This window comes from Homo sapiens, chromosome 8, assembly GCF_000001405.40.
Source record: "Homo sapiens chromosome 8, GRCh38.p14 Primary Assembly".
Lineage (NCBI taxonomy): Eukaryota > Metazoa > Chordata > Mammalia > Primates > Hominidae > Homo > Homo sapiens.
Window position 1 is genome coordinate 141,353,521 of NC_000008.11, and position 20,665 is coordinate 141,374,185.

The window sequence follows — 20,665 nt, forward strand, 5'->3', positions numbered from 1 at the left end:
CATGGGGAGGGGGCGCAAAGATCTCACGCCCTGTCCCCGTGAGTGTGGAGAGGGGGCACGCACAGATCTCACCTCTGCCCCTGTGGGACCAAGGACAGTCTTGGTCTGACTTTTGAAGCTCCTGGGCCTCGGTGCCCACAGAGGAGGCTGAAGTGGGAAGGAGCCGGCCGTCAGGAGAAGGAAGCAAGCAGCCGGGGGAGCTGTGGGGCCCAGTCCAGGGCATTGGGGTGACCCCCTTCCCCAGCCCCCTGCCCTCCAGCTGTAAGGCTGAGGAGAGGAGAAAGAGGAGTGGGGTGTGGAGAAACTGAGGCTTGCCTATCAAGGGTTCTGCATCGGGGGCTGGCAGGCAGTTCTCAGAGGTCTGAGGGTGGGCCCCAAGCCTGTGTCCCTGGCCACAGAAGACAGGCGGCCTGTCCTCTCCAGCATGAGTGGTAGTGGACGCACTTGCCGCTTCGGACAGGATGTCCTTCCCCTCCCGGCCTCTTACAGTCTGAGAAGCCTCTGAGGCCCGAGGAACCCAAGTTGAATGATTGGATTTCAGATGTGGGGACAAGGAGGGGACCTGGCTCACCTGCCTTAGAGACCCCTCCTCCTGAAGAAAGGGATTGTTCCAGAAAAATTGCAAGCCCTGCCTCTTCAAGCACAGCAATCCTCAAGTGTCAGCCATTCACTCTTTAGCGTGAATTAGAGTGACAACCAGGAATGGAGCCAGGCTGGGGGTCATTGATGGGGAGGCCAAAGGCCCGAGGGGCACGTAACACCGGTGGAGGAGGGGCAGGGAAGACTGGCGGGGAAGGGGCCGGGAAGACTGGTAGGGGAGGGGAGGGGCTGGGAAGCTGCATGGAAGGCCCTTCACTGGCCCCAGCGAGGCGGGCGCTTGGCCTTACCTTTGCCCAGGCCATTCCCCCTCATCTTAGCACTCCTTCCCGCTGGCCCCTGCCTCCTTGCAGCCCTGGGCTGGAGAGGTCTTCACAGTACAGTGCGGGACCAAGGGCAGAGGGGTGTCATACTCTAGGCCACGTGCAGAGCTTGCTTGAGGGGCGGGAGTGGGAGCCGGCAGGTAGTCTCTGGGGCTTGGGGCGCCCCCTAAGATGGAGCAAGAGGATCCACAGCTCCTGGAGGAATGGAGTCCAGAGTCCCTGGCCCTGGATGACTTGTGAGCGTGGGTGGAGGGGTCCCAGGTAAGCAAGGCCATTCAGGGACTGCTGGGCCACATGAGCCTGGAAGAAGCTCATGGCTTGGGCTGGGCAGGACACCTGAGCCCTGACCCCTCACTCCTCAGCTCTAGGCATGTGACCACGTGGGTGCCAGCTCGCAGCCCTGGGAATGATGGCTCGCTGGCTGTTGGTGCCTGCTTGCCTGAAAGTCGCCGTGAATGCTGCACCTGTGGTCAGCGGGGTTTTTCTGCATGCACAGCCCTGTCCCCCAGCCACGTCCTTTCCTGAACGCTGGGCCCCTCTGCCTTGTGGAACCCTGCATCCCTGGTAAGCCACGGCCCCTCTCTGAGCAGCACCCGAGAGCTGGGGGCTGGGGGAAGGTTCCAGAATTGTGCCTGGTGCCTGGTAAGTATCAAGAATGCTGGCGGCCATGGTGATACCCACTGCTTCTCGGGCATCCGGACCCAGGGAGGAAGTAACCCTGGCAGCACTCCCAGTTCCACCACCTTGCGGGGCACGCCTCTGACTCCTCTGGGCCGGTGCCCCCCACCCCAGCTGCTCCACATGGCCACAGCTGGGGTTGGTGAGGACAATACTGGCCTTGGATGACTCAGGCACTCACTCTATGACCTTGGCAAGCCCCTTTCTCCCTCTGAGCCTCAGTTTCTTCATTTGTAACATGGGGATATAAAGTCCAGGACCCTAAACTGGGGTCAGGAGACTCTGCCTCGAGCTGAATCGGGGAGCCCCGGCCTTTTCCTCCTCCTCCCCCTCCTGCTCCCAGCCACACAGGCCACGGTCACCCTGAGTGTGTAGGACTTCTCTGTAGCCAAAGGCCTGGCCTGAGGACCTGAGCCCATCTCGCCTGCTTCAGTGGCTATGGCCAGGTCTGATGGCAGGGCCTCAGAGCCGGAAGTGCCAGGGATGCCCCACACTCCTCTTCCTCACCACAGGCTCCCTTCCCCATTACCAGTCCTGAAAGGGCTGGGAGCTTGGACGCTCGGCAGAAGGCACGTGGGAGGAAATCCTGGAGTCCAGCTCTGAGGAGATGATCAGAGGCCCCAGCCAGAGAAAAGCTCCCTCCCTAGTGAAGGCATGGGGACTCATAGTGAGCTGGGCCAGAGCAGCTGGTCACGTCCTCTCTGCCCCCGGGGGGAGGAAAATGGCTGTTTGCATGGGGAGATGGTGGCCACAACCCGGCATGCCTGGGTTCACTGCTGCGTGACTTTGTTCTTGGTTTTCTTATCCATAGGATGGGGCTGTGAACACTGCCTCTACCTGGGGCAGCAGGTGAGCCATTCTGAGGCCATTCCTAGAGTGGGGGCTTTGGGATGATCGTGCACTCTCTGTGGAAGGAGGTGCAAGGGCACTGGAGGAGGTGGGGCTGGTTTTCATTCTGACCCTGCCATTTCCCAGCTGTGGCCCCTGTGTGTGTCACTTGACCCCTCCAGCACCAAGAAATGGATGAAAAGTAGCGTCTCCTTTGTGGGTTGTTGTGGGTTCAAGTGTCAACCTAGATATCACAGTGCTTGCTCACAGCAGAGCGGCCTGTGGGTGTCTGCCGTTTTATCGTGCAATTCACGGAGGCCTCAGGTGGGGGGGTCTTGCAGAGACATGCACCCCCCCCCACCTCCATTAATGCAACACGAATGCTCCCTGGCCTTTTCTTTCTGTCCTTGTCCTTCCTCCTGTGTGTGTGTTGGAGGGAGCATTGTTGTTGTTAGCTCTCTCGGGAATTCAGGTTGTTTCTTAACTCTCTTGGGAATTCCCAGCACCTAAATAATCTTTGTCCTTTTTTCTTTTTTCTTTTTCATCTCATCCTTCTAATCAATGGAATCCACTGTGCCCTTTTTTCTGAGGAACTCCTTCTGGAGACAAACTGGCCAAAGTGAGGAGCAGCTCCCGGCTACCCCTGTGAGTTTTCAGTGGACGTGCTATACCCCAGGAACAGCAAATCACCGGCATTCAGGCCACCACATCCCATCGGAGCCAGTGGCAGACATTGCTAATCAACCACAGCACAGTGGCCTTAGACGCTCAATGCGGTGCTCTGGGTAGCCATCACCAATCAATCGAGATGGAACCGATTGCCACCCCTGGCATGGTGGGTGTCCACGCTGGCATGCCCAGATGAGTCCTGACCTTCGGCCCCTGGCAGAGCCCTGCTGACTAAGCCTCGGGCCCATTAGCCAGGGCCTGGGTGAGGGCGTGAGGGCCGGCACTGAGGATGTGATGACGGCCTGAGCCCTTGGAGCTCCTGTGCATGCTGACCACGTCACCGCTGCTGGGCTCACGCTCTCCGTGCTGGCCGAAGAGGCCTCGGACGGTGGCCTGGAAGCCACTGGTGACGAAGCAGTAGACGATGGGGTCCATGCAGCTGTTGAGGCTGCTGAGGGTCACGGCCACGTGGTAGACCACGAGGCTCGTGTGGTGTGGCATGTCGGGCCACAGCGCCACGGCCACTTGGCGGGCGTGGAAGGGCGTGAAGCAGACGAGAAAGATGATGAGCACCGTGAGCAGGAGCTGCATGGCCCGCACGCGGCGCTGGCGACCCTGGTGGAGCAGACCCGGCCGCGACAGTGCACACATGATGCGGCCGGTAAACACGCTGATGACCAGCAGGGGCAGCAGGAACTCCAGGACAGTCAGCGCAAAGACACGGCAGCAGGGCCGGCTGCCTGTCACGCCCAGCACCGACAGGGTGACGGCACCGGCGGCCAGCCACACGAAGGCGCACACGGCCCTGGCACAGGCAGGCTGGCGGCAGCGGCGGGAGCCTTCGGGCCGCACGATGGCCAGGTAGCGGTCCACGCAGATGCAGGTGAGGAAGAGGATGGAGCAGTGCATGTTGAGGAAGTAACCGAGGACGTGCGGGAAGGCACAGCGCAGGCAGCCCCTGGCGCCGTAGTACACAGCGAAGCGCGTGGGCAGGGACAGCCCTACCAGTAGATCGGTCACCACCAGGTTGATGGTGTAGATGACTGAGGGTGTCTTGGCCCGGGTGCGGCAGCAGAAGACGTACAGCGCCAGCCCGTTGAGCACCAGCCCTGCCAGGAAGATGGCTCCGTGCACCGCCATCAGCGCCAGCCACAGGCCTGGGAAGGTGCCATGCAGCTCCTCGTCCAGCCGGGCAAACAGGTGGAACAGGGGCACCTCCAGCCCGCTGGCATTGGTCCGCACTGTTGTCACTGCGGTGGCATTGGGGACTGCCCCGGCCGAGGGCCCCGCTGGAGACACAGAGGGCATGACGGCAGCCAGCACACCCCAGGCCTGGAAGCAAGGAGACCAGGTCACCCCAGGCGCCAGCCTGGCCTTAAGCCCTGCCCTGAGGCCCAGAACTCAGCTGGCCCGTCTGCCCCTGCACGCCCAGCATCCCCCTTCTCCATGCCCTCGCCTGGCTGGGGCCTCAAATGCCTGCTCCCTTGGCTCTACCCAGAGGGAGCCTCGGACAGCAGCAGAAAAGGCACAGGCTTTCAGAGTCAGACGCGTGTTCAAATTCCAGGACTGGCACTTGCCAGCGTGGAGACTCGACAAAATACGGAGGTTTCTGCGACCGTCCTGGCACGAGGGGGAGGCGGAAACACGTGCGGTGCAGGGCTGTCCTCGGGATGGAGAGCTGATAAGGGCAAGACCACGGGGCTCCAGTGTGCAGTTCCAGGGCCTGGCTCCAGCCCCAGCTGTGCCACTGACTAGTGTGCTTGCTCGGGTAGGCCACTTAACCTCTCTACCTGCTTCCTAATCCATGTCACTGGGATCGCGTTGCTGCTGGGGTGACTAAGCAAGCGGGTCAGCACGGCAGCGCCAGCAGAGTTGGTGGCTGATGACCCAGTTCTGCTGGGACAGAGCCTTGTTCATGGTGGGGACCTCTGACTGCCCTGCCCACTCCCCTGTCCCCACACCCACCGTCATGGCCCCCATCCTCCGGGACCACCCATCTGTTCTCCCCTCCTCCTAGGCCAGCATCAGGTCAATGCCCTGGATGGGGGTCCTCATGAGGGACCTTTACAAAGGGAATTAGGCTGTCCAGTGGGGCTGCATGGGAGCCAAGGACCAGTCTCACTGGGCACCCCAGGCTCCTACTGGCCCTGAGAGGCGGGCACCCCTATGATCCCCCCAAACTACAGAAAAGGAGACAGAGGCCCCTGTGGGGTGGCTGGTTGGGGCTGAAGCCTGGAGCCAGAGTGTGAGTCAAATAAACACCGAGCTCCCGTCTGGCCTGGGCAGGGGGGCCAGGGTGGGGGGCGGGCGAGGGGCTGTGCCGGAGCCACCCACTCTGTTTATGTTCCTGCCCTGGCGTGTTTAACTCGGCAGTGATTTATCCCTCTATTTATAAATGAAGGGTTAACGGCCCTACCCCCACCCTACAGCTGGGCTGACCCTCCAAATAAGGGCATTTCTGGCTTTTTCAGGAGAAAGGAGAAGTCTTTGGGGCCAGCAGGGTGGGGAGGCTCGTGGGCCGTTTCTTCTGCACAGCGCCCCTCCCCCACCTGCTGGAGAAGGGAGGACACTTACCCCTTCCCCTCCTGGTGGCCCCTGCTGTAAACAGGCTGTGCCCCGCCACTCCCTCTGACCAGTGCGTGGCCCCATCCCACCCCTGGGGAACAATGAGCCCTGCCTTCAAACAGCCCCTGGCCTGGCTCAGGGCAGCAAAAGAACTCTTGCTTTCAGAGGGCCAGGTCCCTCCAGTCGGCGGCCACCTTCTTCCTCAGAGTCAGAGAGGTCAGTGCCTGCATGAGGTCACCCAGCATGCCCTCTGCCTCTGGGACCCCAGCCCTGGGTGCGTGCTACCCTGGAGGCTGCTGGGAGGAGTCAAGTGCTGCCCAGGCCTGTGCCCAGCCCCTCCTGCCACCCCCACCACACAAGGGCCCAGGCTCAGCTCCCAGCTCCCCCCGACTGCAAGCAAGCTCTCTATCTCCAGGCCCTGACACGCGGGCATTGATGGGTGCATTTGTTGGATGAATAGGTCTGTCCTCCCTCAGCCCAGGTGTGCCACCAGAGACGGGATTTGGGGGCACAGCAGGCAGCCAGGGGAGGAGAGGAGGCTGGGCACATGGGGGCTGGGAACCTGGCGTCTCAGGGCTGTGGGCTTCAGGAGCCCCAGAAGGTCCCCCCGAAAGAGATGCGTCCCTCCCCTGCTGTGGATGAAACGCTCTCAGAAAAGGTCGAGGCGGCTTTGCAGCTGGACTGAGGGACTGCATGGCCAAAAAAGTATTTTGGGATTCCTTTCTATGTGCCTTTTGCTTTTCCAATTTGTCTGCACGGGGCCTATATTAGTGTCCCAATCAGAGACAAATCATAAACAACACAGAACGTTTCCTGTGGGAGTGAGTCCCAGGGTGATGCTGGCCCCTGGGAATTCTGCTGTCCCAGAAAACTCCCCAGGGCCAGCCCAGCAGGCTCACCAGCAACGCTGCGGTGCTGGGGTCCTGGCTAGGGATGTGGGGGCTCTGCGGTCTCTGGAGCTGGGGGGATGGGCAGAATGTGCTGGACACCCCAGAGGCCAGACCGGAGAGGAGAGGGAGCTAGCAAAGCATGCTCTGATTCCCCGCACTAAGGGTCTGACCCTGATCTCAAACAAAGCTGAACCCTCATCTTGGTCACACACTGAGCCATGATCCCAGTAATGTGATGAACCTCGATCCCTGTCCCACTCTGAGCCCTGACCCTGGTCACACACTGACCCCAATCCTAATAGCACAATGGGCGTTGATTCCTGTGGCGCTCTGAGCCCTGATCCCAGCCACGACCTGGGCCCTCAGCCCGGACCTTCTGTCCCTGTCTCTGCCCTCCTCTCCCAGCTTCGTCTGGCTGTCTCTGTCTCCATATTGTCAACCCCCACCTGCCTCCCACAGCGACGGATGTCCCGATTCGATTATTACGGGGCCTCTCTGGGGCTCCCACTCACCACCCTCTTTGTTCAGAAGGAGGAGGAATGCAAGCGGGGACTCTAGACCCTGCAGGGGCCCATGGAAGTGGCTCCCTGGCGAGTGCCTGGGGAAAGGAGAAGGTTCCGCCCCTCCTGGGACAGCCTGGCTCTGCCTGTGGGAGAGGCACAGACTCTGCTCTCCGGAGGGCCCGGGTGATGAGCAGTCACCAGCACAGAGACCCGGGTTTGAGTCCAGCCCTGCCACTCCCTCAGCTGAGACCTGGGCCTGGTCAGTAGGCTGGCCGTCCTCATCTGCTGAATGGGGTCACTCGTGCCTTCCACAGCTCTGCCTCGCCCTGGTAGCCTGGACTGAGGGGAGAGGCATGGTTTTACCCTCAGAGCCGGCCGGAGAGGGGAGGCAGGGCCCTGTCCCCAAGCCTAGTTTCCCTAAGCCAAACCTGGGTGTGGGGGAGATGGTCCTGTCTCCTCCCTCTTTCCTGGCAGGCACCCTGGGTCTGTCTGAGACAGCAGACTCCATGGCGGGGGCCAACTGGCCAGAGTCTCATGGGCAGGGACTGGCACCGTGTCCTGATCGTGCTGACATGGTGTTGGGGCTCAGGGCCTGGAGGCTGTGCCAGGGCTGGGAGGTTTCTCTTTTCCACTGGCCCAGGCCAGCTCTGCTCCCCACCCACACACAGGTACTTCCTTGGGGACAGAACAGAGGGAACGAGGGCCTGCTCTCCAGGGCTGAGAGTCAGTGAGTGGAGACCCAGCAGGGTAGGGACCTGGAGTGTGGCCATGGAGCCCTGGCTCTGGCCTGGATGGCCCTGCCAAAGCCTGGCTCCATCTCTGAACGGACTATGTGGCCTTACAGTCTCTGAGCCTCAGTTTCCTCATCTGTAGAGTGGGCAAAATAGAATCTCCCCTGGGGGTTCTTGTCCTGATGTGCCAGCCCAGAGTAGGGGCTCAGACACAGGAAGTGATGAAAGTATGGGACAAGCTGCCAGCGGGGGACCCAGAGGGCGAGGGGGCGAGCTCTGCTCCAACCTGGGTGTGCAGCCTAGACCAGGTCCAGCTCCCACACTACTCACTGCCCCCGCCAGCCTGGAGGGAGGGCTCTGACCTGGGTGGGTCCTCTCTGAGCCTCAGTGTCTCCTCCTGTGAAGTGGGAATGGCCGGACACGCTGCCCTGCATGGCTGTCTTGGGCCTTGGCTGAACAGAGCACCTGCTGCAGGTGTGGCGGGGCAGGGGCAGGTGTGCTGCGGCATCTCTTTCTTTTCTGTTTCTGGCCCACCCTTCCGGGTGGGCAGACCCCCAGAGCCCCCACCCCTCCAGGTGGGCACACCTCCCAGAGCCCCGGCCTTTCAAGGCTTCGCTGAGCTCCTCCAGGGGAGGGGGCAGAGGGTGAAGGAGGATGTCCCTCATGCCCTCCCCGTAGGTATCACATCACAAAACAGCCGTCCTAGGCGGGGCTGCCGCTGGGTTGGGGGTTCTCCCTGGGAGGGGCCTGAGGCCTGGACTGCTGGGCAGGGCTGGGGATGTGCCTCTCCAGTCACTGCACCTGACTGATGCTTCTGCAGGCGAAACTACTAGCGGGGCCTAAACACTCCATGCGCCCTCCAGGCCCAACCCCAAGCTGTTCCTGCTCTCTCCCTTTCGGCTTATTCATGCCCATTTTTAGGACTTCCCCCTGGACTTGCCTCCTTAAGGAAGCCTTCTTCCTCCCTGGGCTGCCTCTCTCTGGTGCATCCTCCCAGGGCACCCTGCGCTTCCTCAATCCCAGGGTTCATCCCACGGCGCTGCTATGTGCTGCAGGCTTCCCTGTTGGACTCTGAGCATCTTGAGGCGGGGCTGTGGGTGGGGGCTGAGCTCCCATCTGTTCCACCAGCCCAGCACCCAGATTGGCCTGGCAGAGAGCAGCACCCGTCTTCCCCCTTGTCTGAATGAACGCCCTGAGCAAGCCTCATCAGGGCTGGCAAGGTGTGGCCTGGTTTCTCAACCTGGCATTCAGGGTGAATGCCACCTGGCCTGGCCCCCTCTGAAACCTGCCTACCCAGTGTCTTGGTACTGGTCTGGAATTGGCTTCCACCCCCAGCCCCATCGTCACTACCCATGAGTCCTCCCAGCCGAGCAAGGCTGACACCTCCTCCCGGAAGCCCGTCCTAATCACTCTGACCATTGTGTCCACACTTACATTCCTTCCCACCCTCTATCTCCCATCACCACTCTTTCTTTCTTTCTTTTTTTTTTTTGAGACGGAGTGCTGTGGCGAAATGTCGGCTCACTGCAACCTCCACTTCCTGGGTTCAAGTGAGTCTCATGCCTCAGCCTCTGGAGTAGCTGGGATTACAGGTGCCCGTGCCACACCTGGGTAATTTTTGTATTTTTGGTACAGATGGGGTTTCACCATGTTGGCCAAGGTAGTCTCAAACTCCTGGCCTCAAGTGGTTTGCCCACCTTGGCCTCCCAAACTACTGGGATTACAGGCGTGAGCTACTGCGCCCGGCCCCATCACCACTCTTGATAGCAATGGTCTTTGGTTTGCAGGCCAGCTCTACCACCCGCCACCTTCGAGGCCTCGGGCAAATCATTTCATCACTGGGAGCCTCAGTTCCCTCACCTGGGACTTTGGGAACCATATTTGTTGAATGAATGAATGAAATCAGGCAGGGTGGCTGGACTAAGTGAGAAATACTGCAGACACCCCCAACATGGGAGGCGTGCGATATAAGAGCACGGGAGGCTCCTGGTTTTGGCACCTGGATGGGGCCCTGTGTGGACCAGCCCGCTCACACGTGGGGAGAGGCCAGGGCCAACACGTGTGCTCAGTGCAGGACTTCTCAGAGCCTTTGTGAAACTCACGGTCCTGGGAACTTCCAAGGGGTGGGAGCGAGCATCGAGCATGGAAGCTATTTGACCCTGTCCCCTCCCTGGGGGTTCCTGCTCCATCCATCCCAATGGCCACACCACTAGTCCATGCCCAGAGCACTGATGGGGGCTGCTGCCTCCCTGCCCTCACCCACAGCTTGTTGAATTTCTGCTGGGCACCCGGCCATGGAAGGCCAGACCCCTGGGCTTGGGGTGCTGGCACCTGCCCAGAGGCCTCCAGCGGGGCACCAGGGTCATGCCGGCCTCCGTCCTTGGCCGGTGGGTGGGGAGGGCTATGTCCTCTCTTCCCTGGGCTCCTCTCAAACCCACCCCACCAACCTGGGAGTTCTCTCTTGGCTGCCCAGCAGCCTGTCTGCCTCTGTCCTGCCACATGTGAGACCAGGCAGCAGAGTGGCCCCGGCCCCAGGGCAGCAGATGGCCCAGGGTGGCTGTTGAGCCTGCCTGGGGGTCTGGCTCAGGACCCTGTGTGCTGTCTGTGGACGTGTGGAGGACGGGCCCAGCCTTTTCCCCACAGAGGGGCTCTGAGCACCTGCTAAGGGCGCTTTGCATCCACACAGCAATCCCAGGTTTTACAGATGAGGAACCGGAGGCCCAGAGGGGTGAGTGGTGTCCTCACGGTTACCCAGCATGGAGCTGGTGGGGCTGGGAATCAGACCCAGGTCCACTGGCAGGACCCGGCACAGGCCGGAGTGGAGCAGAGTGCGGGCTGGGGAGCAGAGGGGCTGGATTAGGCATCTCTGGACCGGGAGTTTGTGCACAAGGGGATTCTCCGGGCCCTGAGGCCGCATGTGTGACCACGGGTCTGTGTGTGCTTGAGCCTGCACCCCAGACGGCGTGGCCCTCATGGCCTTCCAGGGCTAAAATAGCCATGATTCGGGGAACTGTCTGCCTGTTTATTTTTATGATTATTCTTGGTTTCACAGCATCTGCTTTTGAATATCATCTGCTGTTTTTGATAAGTCTGAGCCTCCGTTTCTTCCACCAAGAGGCAGGTGGGTGCTTGCTGAGCTCTCCAAATGGGGTCAGACTCACCCCAGGTCACCTAGCAAGTCCCAGGTGACCCTGGCCAGAAGCCAAGTCTTTCTCCCTGTCCCCCACGCCCACAGGCCAGGGCTCCCTCCACCCCAGTGCAGAGAGAGACGTCACTGGTGGGCACAGACTGAGCTCTGTGGGGAAGGACACCTGGGCCCCATCTGACCCGACTCTGCCTCAGTTCCACCAGCTAAGAGCCCTCTTGCTGAGACTGCGGCTCTAACGGAAACACCAGTGTCTCTGGGAGGGGCATAGCCAGTTGGAGGTCCTGCATGTCACCTGCCAGCCCCTCCCTGCCTCCCCATCATTGGGTTCATTGCTCACCTCTAGCTGGGTGTCTCTGGGAGGGGCATGGCCAGTTGGAGGTCCTGCGTGTCACCCACCAGCCCCTCCTTTCCTCCCCATCACCGAGTTCATTGCTCACCTCTAGCTGGGATAGCCGTAGCTGCAGCAGCTCCTGAAACCCCTCCCCAACCTCAGCCTCTCCAGGAGCTGCTGGGACAGGCATTCTGTCATGTGCACCTGCCTGGCCTCAGCCTGGTCCTTCCGCCTGAAGCTCCTCAGCCTGGTCCTCTCAGCCTCTTCCCTCTGCATGTGCTGTTCCTTCTGCCCGGAATGCTGTTTCTCTCCCTGTGCCACCTGGTGAAGGCTCCGGGCACCCACAGTCATTGTTCCACAGAGCTCTCCCTGAGCCCCTCTGATGCCCTAGTGCCCTGGATGCCCCTGCCCCAGGGGGAGAGCTATGATCCCACAATCTGAAGGGCACCCGCTGGGCTCATCCTTCCCAGGGTCTTATTGACTTCCCTCAAGATGCCCCTGGGTGGGTGTTTCTGGCCCCACTGTGCCTGTGGGGAACCAATACAGAGGGGCTAAGTCATGTGTCCGGGCTCACCCAGCTGGGGTGCAGGAGGGGCTGAGCTCTGCCTCAATCTGCCTGCTGGCACTTTGTCCCAGTGCCTGGGATCAGCCTTCTGCGGCACCCAGCCCTGTGTGTGGAGGGAATCAGAGGCCCCAGGCCACACAGCCCCGTGCAGTTTGGAGGTGTCAGACCAGGACTTAGACCCCAGCACTGCGGGCACAAATGGGTCCCAGGCAGACCTGGCCCCACCTTTCCGAGCTGACAGCTCAGGGTAGGGTGGGAGGTGGCTGGTCACGGCCGGGATGGGCCTCAGGACAATCAGAGGGAAGAGCGCTCCCGGCAGCAGGAAGGGCACAGTGAGCATGAAGGGCCAGAGGTGGGAAGGAGAGTCTGTGTTCAGGGCTCTGTGAGACACCGGGGGCGTGGGGAGGGCTTTGGGACGTATGGTGAGGGGATCAACTTAAGGTTCTTTGGGCCCTGACGCCCCTCCTCAGGGAGGCCCTCCAGAGCCCACAGCCCCGCACGCCTGCACCGCCTGGCTTCCTTCGCAGTGCCCTGCCACGCGCAGTTCCCTATGTCCCTGCTTTCCTGTTCGCTGTGCTTCCCTCACTGAACTGGAGTGCCTCAGGGGCCCTGGCCTTGGCTGGCCCCTCTGAGTCACTGAGTCACTGCTGAGTGATGGAGTGGATGATTTTAGAATACCCCTCTGATCTCCTTGAGCCTCAGTTTCCTCATCTATAAAGAGGAGATGCTAATACCACTTAACAAGAAGACAATGAAGCCACCCCGTGGGCTCCAGGAGCTGCTCAGAAATGGTCCAAACTGCATGGCCCCCACGCCCGGCTCTCCAGCCGCAGACCCCGCCTTTGCTGATGGGCCCACACCGTGTGGCTCAGAGAGGGGCAGCGACTTGCCACGGCCACTCAGCAGACCGCCCTGGAGCCCAGCGACTGGATGAGTCCTGGGGGGAGAGGGGAGGGAAGACCCAGGATGACCAGCTGTTGAAGGAAGAAGACAGGGCAAGTGGACAGGCCCAGCCTCCTGCGGGGTGCATTCCCCGTCCTGCGAGGTCGCCAGCTGCTCCACGTCTGCCCCGCCAGCACCCTGGCTGCTGGCCAGTTCCCAGCCCGCTGCCCCCTCGGGACCCTGTCCTGCCGCCTTCTCACAGCGCAGTCCCAGTGCGAGCTTCGCGGGGCTGGAGCCAGCTTCTAGGTCCACACTGAGGGCTGGCAAGCAAGCCTTCCCTGGGACTCAGTTTCCCCACCCCTAAGGGGTAGAGACAGCACCAAGGCTACTGCAGAGGGCCTGAGCTGTGGGATGGCAGGACGGGCACTCTGAAGAGGGAGCATGGCGCTTGGAGCCCATGCCCACAAAGCCCTCACCATGGCCCTGCCCCAGCTGCGGGGTGGTGGTGGCTGAGGCCCCAGAGCCTGCCAAGTGCCTCTGGGGTCCCCCAACTCTGTCCCTGGCTTGGCCTGTGGGCCACCCTGCTGCCTTGCCAGGTGGGGAAACCAAGACCCAGCTCTGGGCACCCAGCAGATGCTCGGTGAGTGTTGAACGGAGGGATGAATGAGTGAATGAATGAAATCCAGAGTTGGGTGGGCACCTAGCAGCGCAGCTCCCCCTTATGCAGCCAGCCCAACTCACGCCCATGTTCTCCCTCAGGTCTCTGTTTTCTCATCTGAGAAATGGCTCCCTGTCCAGCAGGACCTGCTCTGAGCTCTCCCCAGCCCGGATCTGGAGGCAGTTTCTCTGCCCTGCCCTTCCCACTCCTGCTTGGCTGGGGGTGAGAACCCCTGCAGGGAGCAGCTCAGGAGCCTCCTATCTAGGGAAGCTGGGGAGAGGGAGGCTGGGGCCAGCCCACAGGGGAACTTACCGCGCTTCACCCGGGCAGGCTGGAGATGGGAGTCCTCAGCTCTCAGCTCTGCATGCAGCCCGGACCTCGCCTTCCTACGGCCTGACGTCAGGCCAGCGCTTGGGGCTCCTTTTGGGCAAAGGCAGGGTGGGGGCGGGGCAGGCTCCTTCCCCGCCCCCAGGAGGAGTCAAGGCTCAGAGCCTGAGGGACGGTGCCTGGGGCACCAGAGTCCCCACACCCACTGGAGACAGAAGAAGAAACCGAGGCACAGAGGGGCCTGGGGCACCAGAGTCCCCACACCCACTGGAGACAGAGGGGGAAACTGAGGCACCGAGGAGCTGAGCCTCAGCTGCACCATCCAGGAGGTGGTGGCTGGCACTTGTGTGTGCCGTGTGCAGGGCAGGAGGTGGGAAACTGAGGCACGGAGGGGCTAAGCCTCAGCTGCACCATCCAGGAGACAGTGGCTGGCACTTGTGTGTGCTGTGTGCGGGGCAGGAGGGGGAAACTGAGGCACGGAGGGGCTGAGTCTCAGCTGCACCATCCAGGAGATGGTGGCTGGCACTTGTGCGTGCTGTGTGCGGGGCAGGAGGGGAAAACTGAGGCACAGAGGGGCTGAGTCTCAGCTGCACCATCCAGGAGACGGTGGCTGGCACTTGTGTGTGCTGTGTGGGGGGCAGGAGGGGGAAACTGAGGCACGGAGGGGCTGAGTCTCAGCTGCACCATCCAGGAGATGGTGGCTGGCACTTGTGCGTGCTGTGTGCGGGACAGGAGGTGGGAGCACACGAAAGCCCAATTTCCTTCCCGGGAGGGGGCATGTGCATGGTAGCTTCAGCCCACGCAAGCCTGGGTTCCTGCATGGCTCTCTGTTTTGCATGTGTCCTGGGTTTGGCTGTGTCTGTGTGTACCCATGACCGACAGCCTGCACACCTGGCATCTGGGCCTCTGTTTGCACCCATGCACCGGTGGCATGTGGCATGTGGGGTCAGGTGTGTGGGAAAGACCTGGACGTGACCCAGGCCAGCAGGTGGGGAGAGCGTGTGGGACCCGGACCTCAGTGCTGGAGGAAGCGTGAGCTCATCAACAGGCTTGATCCCAGAGGGCTGCTGGAGGGCCACTCTCCCCAGACAGCTTCAGAGCCAGGAGGCCTTGTGGCCAGCCTGGGGTGGCAGCGGGGGTTGTCGGGGAGCGGTTGGGGCCATTTAGTTAGTGTCTCCTCTGCCGAGAGCACCATCTCCTCTTGTTCCCATCCCGTGTGCTTCTGCTGATACTCACACTTTAACCTTCCAGCCGCCTGAGTGCCGAGGCCCTGCTGAGTGGGTTGTACTGCACACCGGAGACTCAGGGAAGGCTCCCCAAGGGAGGGGCTGGGCCTTCCCGAGCTCAGGCTGGTTGTAATGCAGACCAACAGGAGAGAGTAGGTGGGCCCTAGGGTCCTGACCCAGCCTGCTGGGGAGGGATGCCGTCTGGGAAGGCTTCCTGGAAGGGGCAGAGGGAGGTATAACAGGAGGCAGGCAGCCCAGATGGGCAGAGGGACAGGAGGCCATCAGAATATTTCCTGGGGAGCAAAGCTGGGAGTGGGCAGGGGACTTCTACACTGAGTCTCAGCAGCCTCTATGGGTACCAGAGTGCTGCAACAGGGAGCCATTGAAAGTTCTGGGAGAGGATGGTTTCTTCACTCTGGAGCAGCCTCCCTGCGGCTGCAGGGCTGAGCCCACAGGCTGCAATTATCTCCTTTAGAACATCGTTGTGTCTGTTTTAGCTGGGGAAACTGAGGCCCAGAGAGGCACAGGAGTCTCTGGCCACCAGCCTCTTGCACCTCTCTGGACCAGGACTGGCTCCTGGCAGGCAGGGTTTCACCGGGCTTGTGGAAGGTGGGGGTGGATGCAATGTCATTTTTGTGTGGGGGTGGCCTGGAGGCAGCCCAGATTGGGCAGGGCTGGAGCCAGAGGAGGCTCAGATTTCCTGAGCAGGCGAGGGTGGCTGAGTCACCGCACCAGTGCCAGGCCTCATGCCCACCTCTGAGGGCCTGGGGCTCCAGCCTTGCACTCTCAGGCTTGTTCTCAGAGAAATCTCAGAGACGGTCCCCCAGCAAACAGCGGGGAACTGCCTGGGGAGGGGTCACAGCCCACGCCAGCCTCCCTGACTCCTCCCCCAGGGAGACTCTTCTCAGCAGGACCCAGGGATCCTCTTGGGGGGACACCAGGGATGGGGGTCCCGAGCTCAGGGCCAACACTCCACAACCCTCAGAGGAGACAGGGCACAGGGACAATTTCCTCCTTGTCATCTTTATCAGGCTGGCAGGTCAGGCCAGGCTGTCTGTGACTGGGGTCAGGGGTCAGAGGTCAGAGAGTGGCTGTGCCCAGGGTCAGGACCCCTTCAGGTGTGTCTGACTGGCCCTTCGCAGGGCAGGACTGCTCATCCTGGGCTCTGGCACACTTTGCAGGGTGGGAGGGGCCCCTTGGGCAGACACTGTAGGGAACTGGGCCTGGTGGAGAGCCCTCTCAAGCCCATGGAAGCATCCTTGGAGGCCCTGCCAGCGGTGAGGCATCAGCAGCCTACCATTCCTCCTTCCCCAAGGGACAGGGTGCAGGGAAGCGCCACAATGATATCTCCACATGAGCCGCCAGCAGGGCTACCAGGCCACCCTGGGCAGGAGGCAGAAGTGGCCCCTTGTGAACCTCCATGGGAGCCAGGTGGACCCATGGCTCCTGTCCTCCACCCTTGGCCTGTGACGCCAAGGCCCTCTCGCTGTGGCAGCTGCAGTTGGGAATCCCATAACGCTGCAATCAAGACTGACAAGCCCCGCCCATCATGGGCAGTGCTGGCACTGTAGGGTCCCCATCCTGAGGGATGAAGCCAACAACGGGCCACTGAGCAGTCCCCGGGGTGGAGAGGGCTCAGGATAATGGGGAACAGCAGATGGTGGTGACAGGCGGGTTCTGCCACCCCTGCTGGTGCCTGACACCGCAGACCTCGTCTGTCCTCCTGAGAGACCCTCGTCTTGGTGCCACTCGAGGATGTAAACAGCCCCGGGAGGCTGGCAGCCGTTTTCTGCCATGTGTCCAGGGGTGAGGTCCTCCCAAGGGGGCCTGCGAAGGTGGGGTGATGCCAGCCAGCTCTGCAGGACTCCCACCTACTCGAGAGGCCAGAGCTATGGAGGAGGGGCAGAGGGGGAGTGCAGAGCTTCCAGATGAGGGGTGATCGGGAGACCTGCAGGCTCCTTCCTGGGGGGTCCAGTGCCCACAGGCCCTCTCCTGCACTCTGGACTTGCTGGGTAGCGGGCAGGCACCTGCCATTGAGCTGGGGTGGGCAGGAGCCTTTCTCTGCCCCAGGGAGAGGTGAGCCTGCATGTCCAGGGAATGTGGGGGCCCCTTGTGCAGCCCTGGGTTCAAGCCCAGCCTGGCGCCTCCCTTGTCTGCTCTGATCCTCAGCCTTGGCCCTGTGGCCTGTGCTCACGGCTGGGAAGGGGCGTCCCTCCTCTCAGGAAGCGCTGGGTCCTGCCGGCCACATCACAGCTCCACAGGGAGGCTCAGCCCCACAGTGGGAACCAAGGAAACTGGGCTGGGGGTACAGGGACAGGACCAGCCCCAAGGCCCACAGCAGTGAGGGGCAGCCTGGGCCCAGTCTGCGGCCTCCTCCTATCTGAGGGGAAGACGCGGACCCCACGGTAGCAGAGCATGTCGGGGCTCCAGGGGTGGAGGCTAGAAGAACCAGGGCAGGCTATGAGACCCTGCAGGGCAGAGCCTTTGAGAGGTGGGTGGGGAAGTACCCAGAGTCCGGGATCATCCAGGCCAGTCTTGGCTGAATGCCTGGAACTCAGCCACAACTGGGGACGTCCAGGGTACCTGGTGCTGTGCCTGGTGCACAGTTAGCGCGCGGCTCTGGGGCTCTAGGGAGTCATCCTAGGGTGGCTGCTGGGACTGCTACCCTCTGGGCTGGCCCCCTCGGTGCCCCAAGGCACCCCCTTATGCCTGCTCAACACTGAGGGTTCCCCCCAGGGCATCTTGTCTCAACATCTGCTCTTACACACAGGGAAACTGAGGCCCAGAAAGGGAGGAAGGCCTGTCCAAAGTCACACAGCAAATGGGGCATGCAGACCCTGGCTGGAACCATGCCTGGCTTGCAGCCCCCCAGTACCCTTCTGTTAAACCCAGTCTCATGGACTGTGGGAAGGGGCACCCACAGAACACTGCCTCATCATGGGGTCTGGCAGGGCTGTGGCCCTGGCCACAGCTGGCACAAGGTGGTGAGACTCAGTGTGGGCTGGTACTGCTGAAGGGGCCCACACGGAAGAAGCTGCAGCCTTGAGCCCCATGGAGCCCAGGGAGGGTCCCCGCAGGGAATGGCGGGGGACAGCAGCGCGGGGCTTATTGGTGAGAAAGCAGAGGGAAAGCCCCAGGCTCCTAAGACCCAATCCGGGAGGGATTGCTGGTGGAGGAGGTCTGGTGACCAGCCTTGCAGGCTCTCCCAGGATTCACACTGGCTCTGCCTGGCCTTGCCATGGGTCCAGGAGCCTGGGGTGAGGTCTGAGTGTGGAGTGTGGAATGCGTGTGGGGCTAGCTGAGTCTTAGCTTACAGAATGGGGCAGCAGGGCCTCAGGGGGAACACTGGGACCAGAGGACCTTGGAACCCGCCAAGTTGGCCCCACCTTTTATACATGTGGAGATGAAGGCCGGAGAGGGGCTTCAGCTATCGAAGCTCCGAGGCAGCTCAGCTCCATGCCAGCCTTCCTGCCACCTGGGCAGGGGTGCCCCTTCACGCCCTGGCCTTCTTGTGGCCAGCCAGGTTACAGCTGGCAGCTGGGCAGGGGTGCAGTTCCCACCATCTGGGTCTCCAGGCCCACCCAGGGCCAGCCCAGGAGGTGCTGGGTGAGTGGTGGGTTCCCCCAGGGCAGAGACAGCAGGAAGAGGATTGCCACCGTGGGGGGCTTCCCGTGTGTCCCGTTCCACCTGGCCTGTGCCTGGACCAGCACTTCTCATCCCGCCCACCTCCTGGTGAGGGTCCTCACAGAGAGCAAGGGGACTAAGTCCCTTCCCTCCCTCGGGCTCACACAGCTGGGCCCCTGAAGAGTCAGGCAGGAACCTGGGAGCTCAGAGGCCAGGCCACTGGGCTCCCACCACCCCGGGACCTTCCACTTGGGGTTTGAGGAGGCGGCCGAGCCTTTGGGGTCTGACCCACGTTGGGGCTGCTGTGGCAATAGACTCCCCAGGGAGAGGGAGAGGGGAAGCCCCGGGACCCTCTCAGGGGCCTGGCCCTGCTCCCTCTCTCCACAGCCTCCTCTGACACTTGGCCCAGCCAGGGAGGGGCTCTAGTGGGATCAGCACAGGTGCCAGAGCAAGCACAGGTCCAGCAGGCTTGGTGGCCGGGGGTGGTGGCCATGCGGGCCCTGCTTGGCACCTCTTATCCCAGGCACTGGAACACAAAACAGGGCAGAGTATGAGGCACTGCTGCGTGGAGCCCTCCTGGGATGTGATCCAAGGGTTGAAACCCCTGGTCTAGCAGGTCAGTCACTCAACATGCAGCGCTCACCGAGACAAGTCTATAACAGCTGCCGCTCACTGAGAGCTTCTGGCGGGCCAGGCACAGGGGAAGCACTTCAGGTCTATTAATTCCCCCAAATAATCTTATAATGGGGCATCCTGTTCCCATCTTCAGAAGAGGAAAGGGAGGCTCAGAGAGGCAAAGTCACTTGCCCAAGGTCATGCAGCTAGGAGGGTGGAGCTGGGACCAGGCCTGGAGTCTCTCAGCCCTTACAAAGCCCCCAAATTGCCAGAGCTTTCTCTCTGGAAGCTCCAGGAACCCATCACCTGGGGAACTGTGACAAGGACCCCACAGCCCGGGAACCCCAGGGGAGAGAGTGTGAGGTCTAAGATCCCTCCTGGGCCCAGGCGCCTGCCCGGGGTGGCCCAGGCCAGCCACCACAAACTGGCCAGGCTGGGCTGAGCTGCAACTCCCTCTAGAGTTGGCCCAGTCCACCCAGGTCAAGAACAGGCCACGTCCCCAGCAGGGCTCGGGACCTGCTTTCTATTTCAGCACTTCCCAGCCCCCGATGGCCCCTTGGGACAGGAATAGCTGTGTCTGTCTGTGTCTGTCTGCTCGGCAGGCCTCAGAGGAGCGGCCCCGGGTACCCGGGTTCTCCTGACCTTGGCTTCCTCGTTGGCCCAGGAGCAGGGAGCATGGATGTCCAGGGGTAGTGTCCGTGTGGGGACGCTGCAGTGGCAGCTGCTGTTCTCTGCCCAACCCCTCCACCTTCCCTCATAGCAATGAGCTTTGGTCACTGTGAGTGGCCAAAATGGCCTAGGCCAGCACAGGCTAAAAGCTACTGGCTGGACATCTGGCACCGGTGGGCAGGGAAACTGGTGACCTCTAAGGAGCAGGACGTGGAGACCCAGGCTCTGAACTCTCTGGCTCTGAGAACAACTTTTAGGAAGTTGCTTGGGTTCAGGGTTTCTGGGACAAGCCCTCCCAAGCACTGGTCACAAGCTCAGGACCGAGAATGTGACCCCAAGGTCTCTCCTCACTGTCTCTGCAGAAGCCTGAGAGCCTTCCCACCTGCACAACTCTGCCCCACTGTTCTCTCCACCTAGAAGGCCTTTCCCACGGATCCAAACCAGCCTCTAGCCACAAGGCCACCTCTTCCAGGAAGCCTGCCCTGACTGGTTTGTCTTAGCCCTGAATTCTGAGGGCAGTCTGGGCCTGGATCAATTGCTGGGATTTTCCTGGGCCAAGTTTGTCTCCAGCCAAATGTTTGACTCCTCTGAGACACGGCCAACGTTTCGCTGGTTTCTTCCTCCTTTCTGTTGCTGAGCATGTGGGGAGGTATATAGTAGAAGCTCAATAAATGCAAATGCCTACTCATTTTAAAAATGGGTGGGAAGGGCAGGGCTCCAGGCTGCCATGGCCCCATTGCAGGCACTTGGGCCCCTTTTCTGCCTGTATAAACTTTCCCACAGAGCCTTCCGGGGTGGCACACACTGCTCTTACGAACAGGAAGTTCTTTCCCGTT

The 20,665-nt window shown here is 61.5% G+C and overlaps 1 protein-coding gene across 1 annotated transcript, besides 7 other annotated features; it reads right to left on the reverse strand.

Moving 5' to 3' along the window:
* GPR20 (G protein-coupled receptor 20) lies at positions 2,950–13,766 on the reverse strand. The gene is made up of 2 exons (NM_005293.3): positions 13,681–13,766; positions 2,950–4,427 (listed from the first exon to the last, which is right to left on the reverse strand). Exon 2 carries the CDS (start codon positions 4,401–4,403, stop codon positions 3,327–3,329), a length of 1,077 nt encoding a protein of 358 aa, NP_005284.2. The 5' UTR covers positions 4,404–4,427; positions 13,681–13,766; the 3' UTR covers positions 2,950–3,326.
* Positions 2,963–3,584: an enhancer, noted in NCBI's record as "H3K27ac-H3K4me1 hESC enhancer chr8:142366583-142367204 (GRCh37/hg19 assembly coordinates)". NCBI's record gives its function as "activates a minimal SCP1, AML or CMV promoter by ChIP-STARR-seq in naive H9 embryonic stem cells {active_cell/tissue: H9 hESC(naive)}" and the evidence as "EXISTENCE:reporter gene assay evidence [ECO:0000049][PMID:30033119]".
* Positions 3,585–4,206: an enhancer, noted in NCBI's record as "H3K27ac-H3K4me1 hESC enhancer chr8:142367205-142367826 (GRCh37/hg19 assembly coordinates)". NCBI's record gives its function as "activates a minimal SCP1, AML or CMV promoter by ChIP-STARR-seq in naive H9 embryonic stem cells {active_cell/tissue: H9 hESC(naive)}" and the evidence as "EXISTENCE:reporter gene assay evidence [ECO:0000049][PMID:30033119]".
* Positions 6,057–6,653: an enhancer, noted in NCBI's record as "H3K27ac-H3K4me1 hESC enhancer chr8:142369677-142370273 (GRCh37/hg19 assembly coordinates)". NCBI's record gives its function as "activates a minimal SCP1, AML or CMV promoter by ChIP-STARR-seq in naive H9 embryonic stem cells {active_cell/tissue: H9 hESC(naive)}" and the evidence as "EXISTENCE:reporter gene assay evidence [ECO:0000049][PMID:30033119]".
* Positions 14,529–15,078: an enhancer, noted in NCBI's record as "H3K4me1 hESC enhancer chr8:142378149-142378698 (GRCh37/hg19 assembly coordinates)". NCBI's record gives its function as "activates a minimal SCP1, AML or CMV promoter by ChIP-STARR-seq in naive H9 embryonic stem cells {active_cell/tissue: H9 hESC(naive)}" and the evidence as "EXISTENCE:reporter gene assay evidence [ECO:0000049][PMID:30033119]".
* Positions 15,443–15,625: a silencer, noted in NCBI's record as "fragment chr8:142379063-142379245 (GRCh37/hg19 assembly coordinates)". NCBI's record gives its function as "represses an EF-1alpha promoter that drives an FKBP-Casp9 reporter gene in an ReSE screen in phorbol 12-myristate 13-acetate-treated (for megakaryocytic differentiation) K562 erythroleukemia cells {active_cell/tissue: K562(+PMA)}" and the evidence as "EXISTENCE:reporter gene assay evidence [ECO:0000049][PMID:32094911]".
* Positions 18,981–19,604: an enhancer, noted in NCBI's record as "H3K4me1 hESC enhancer chr8:142382601-142383224 (GRCh37/hg19 assembly coordinates)". NCBI's record gives its function as "activates a minimal SCP1, AML or CMV promoter by ChIP-STARR-seq in naive H9 embryonic stem cells {active_cell/tissue: H9 hESC(naive)}" and the evidence as "EXISTENCE:reporter gene assay evidence [ECO:0000049][PMID:30033119]".
* Positions 19,605–20,228: an enhancer, noted in NCBI's record as "H3K4me1 hESC enhancer chr8:142383225-142383848 (GRCh37/hg19 assembly coordinates)". NCBI's record gives its function as "activates a minimal SCP1, AML or CMV promoter by ChIP-STARR-seq in naive H9 embryonic stem cells {active_cell/tissue: H9 hESC(naive)}" and the evidence as "EXISTENCE:reporter gene assay evidence [ECO:0000049][PMID:30033119]".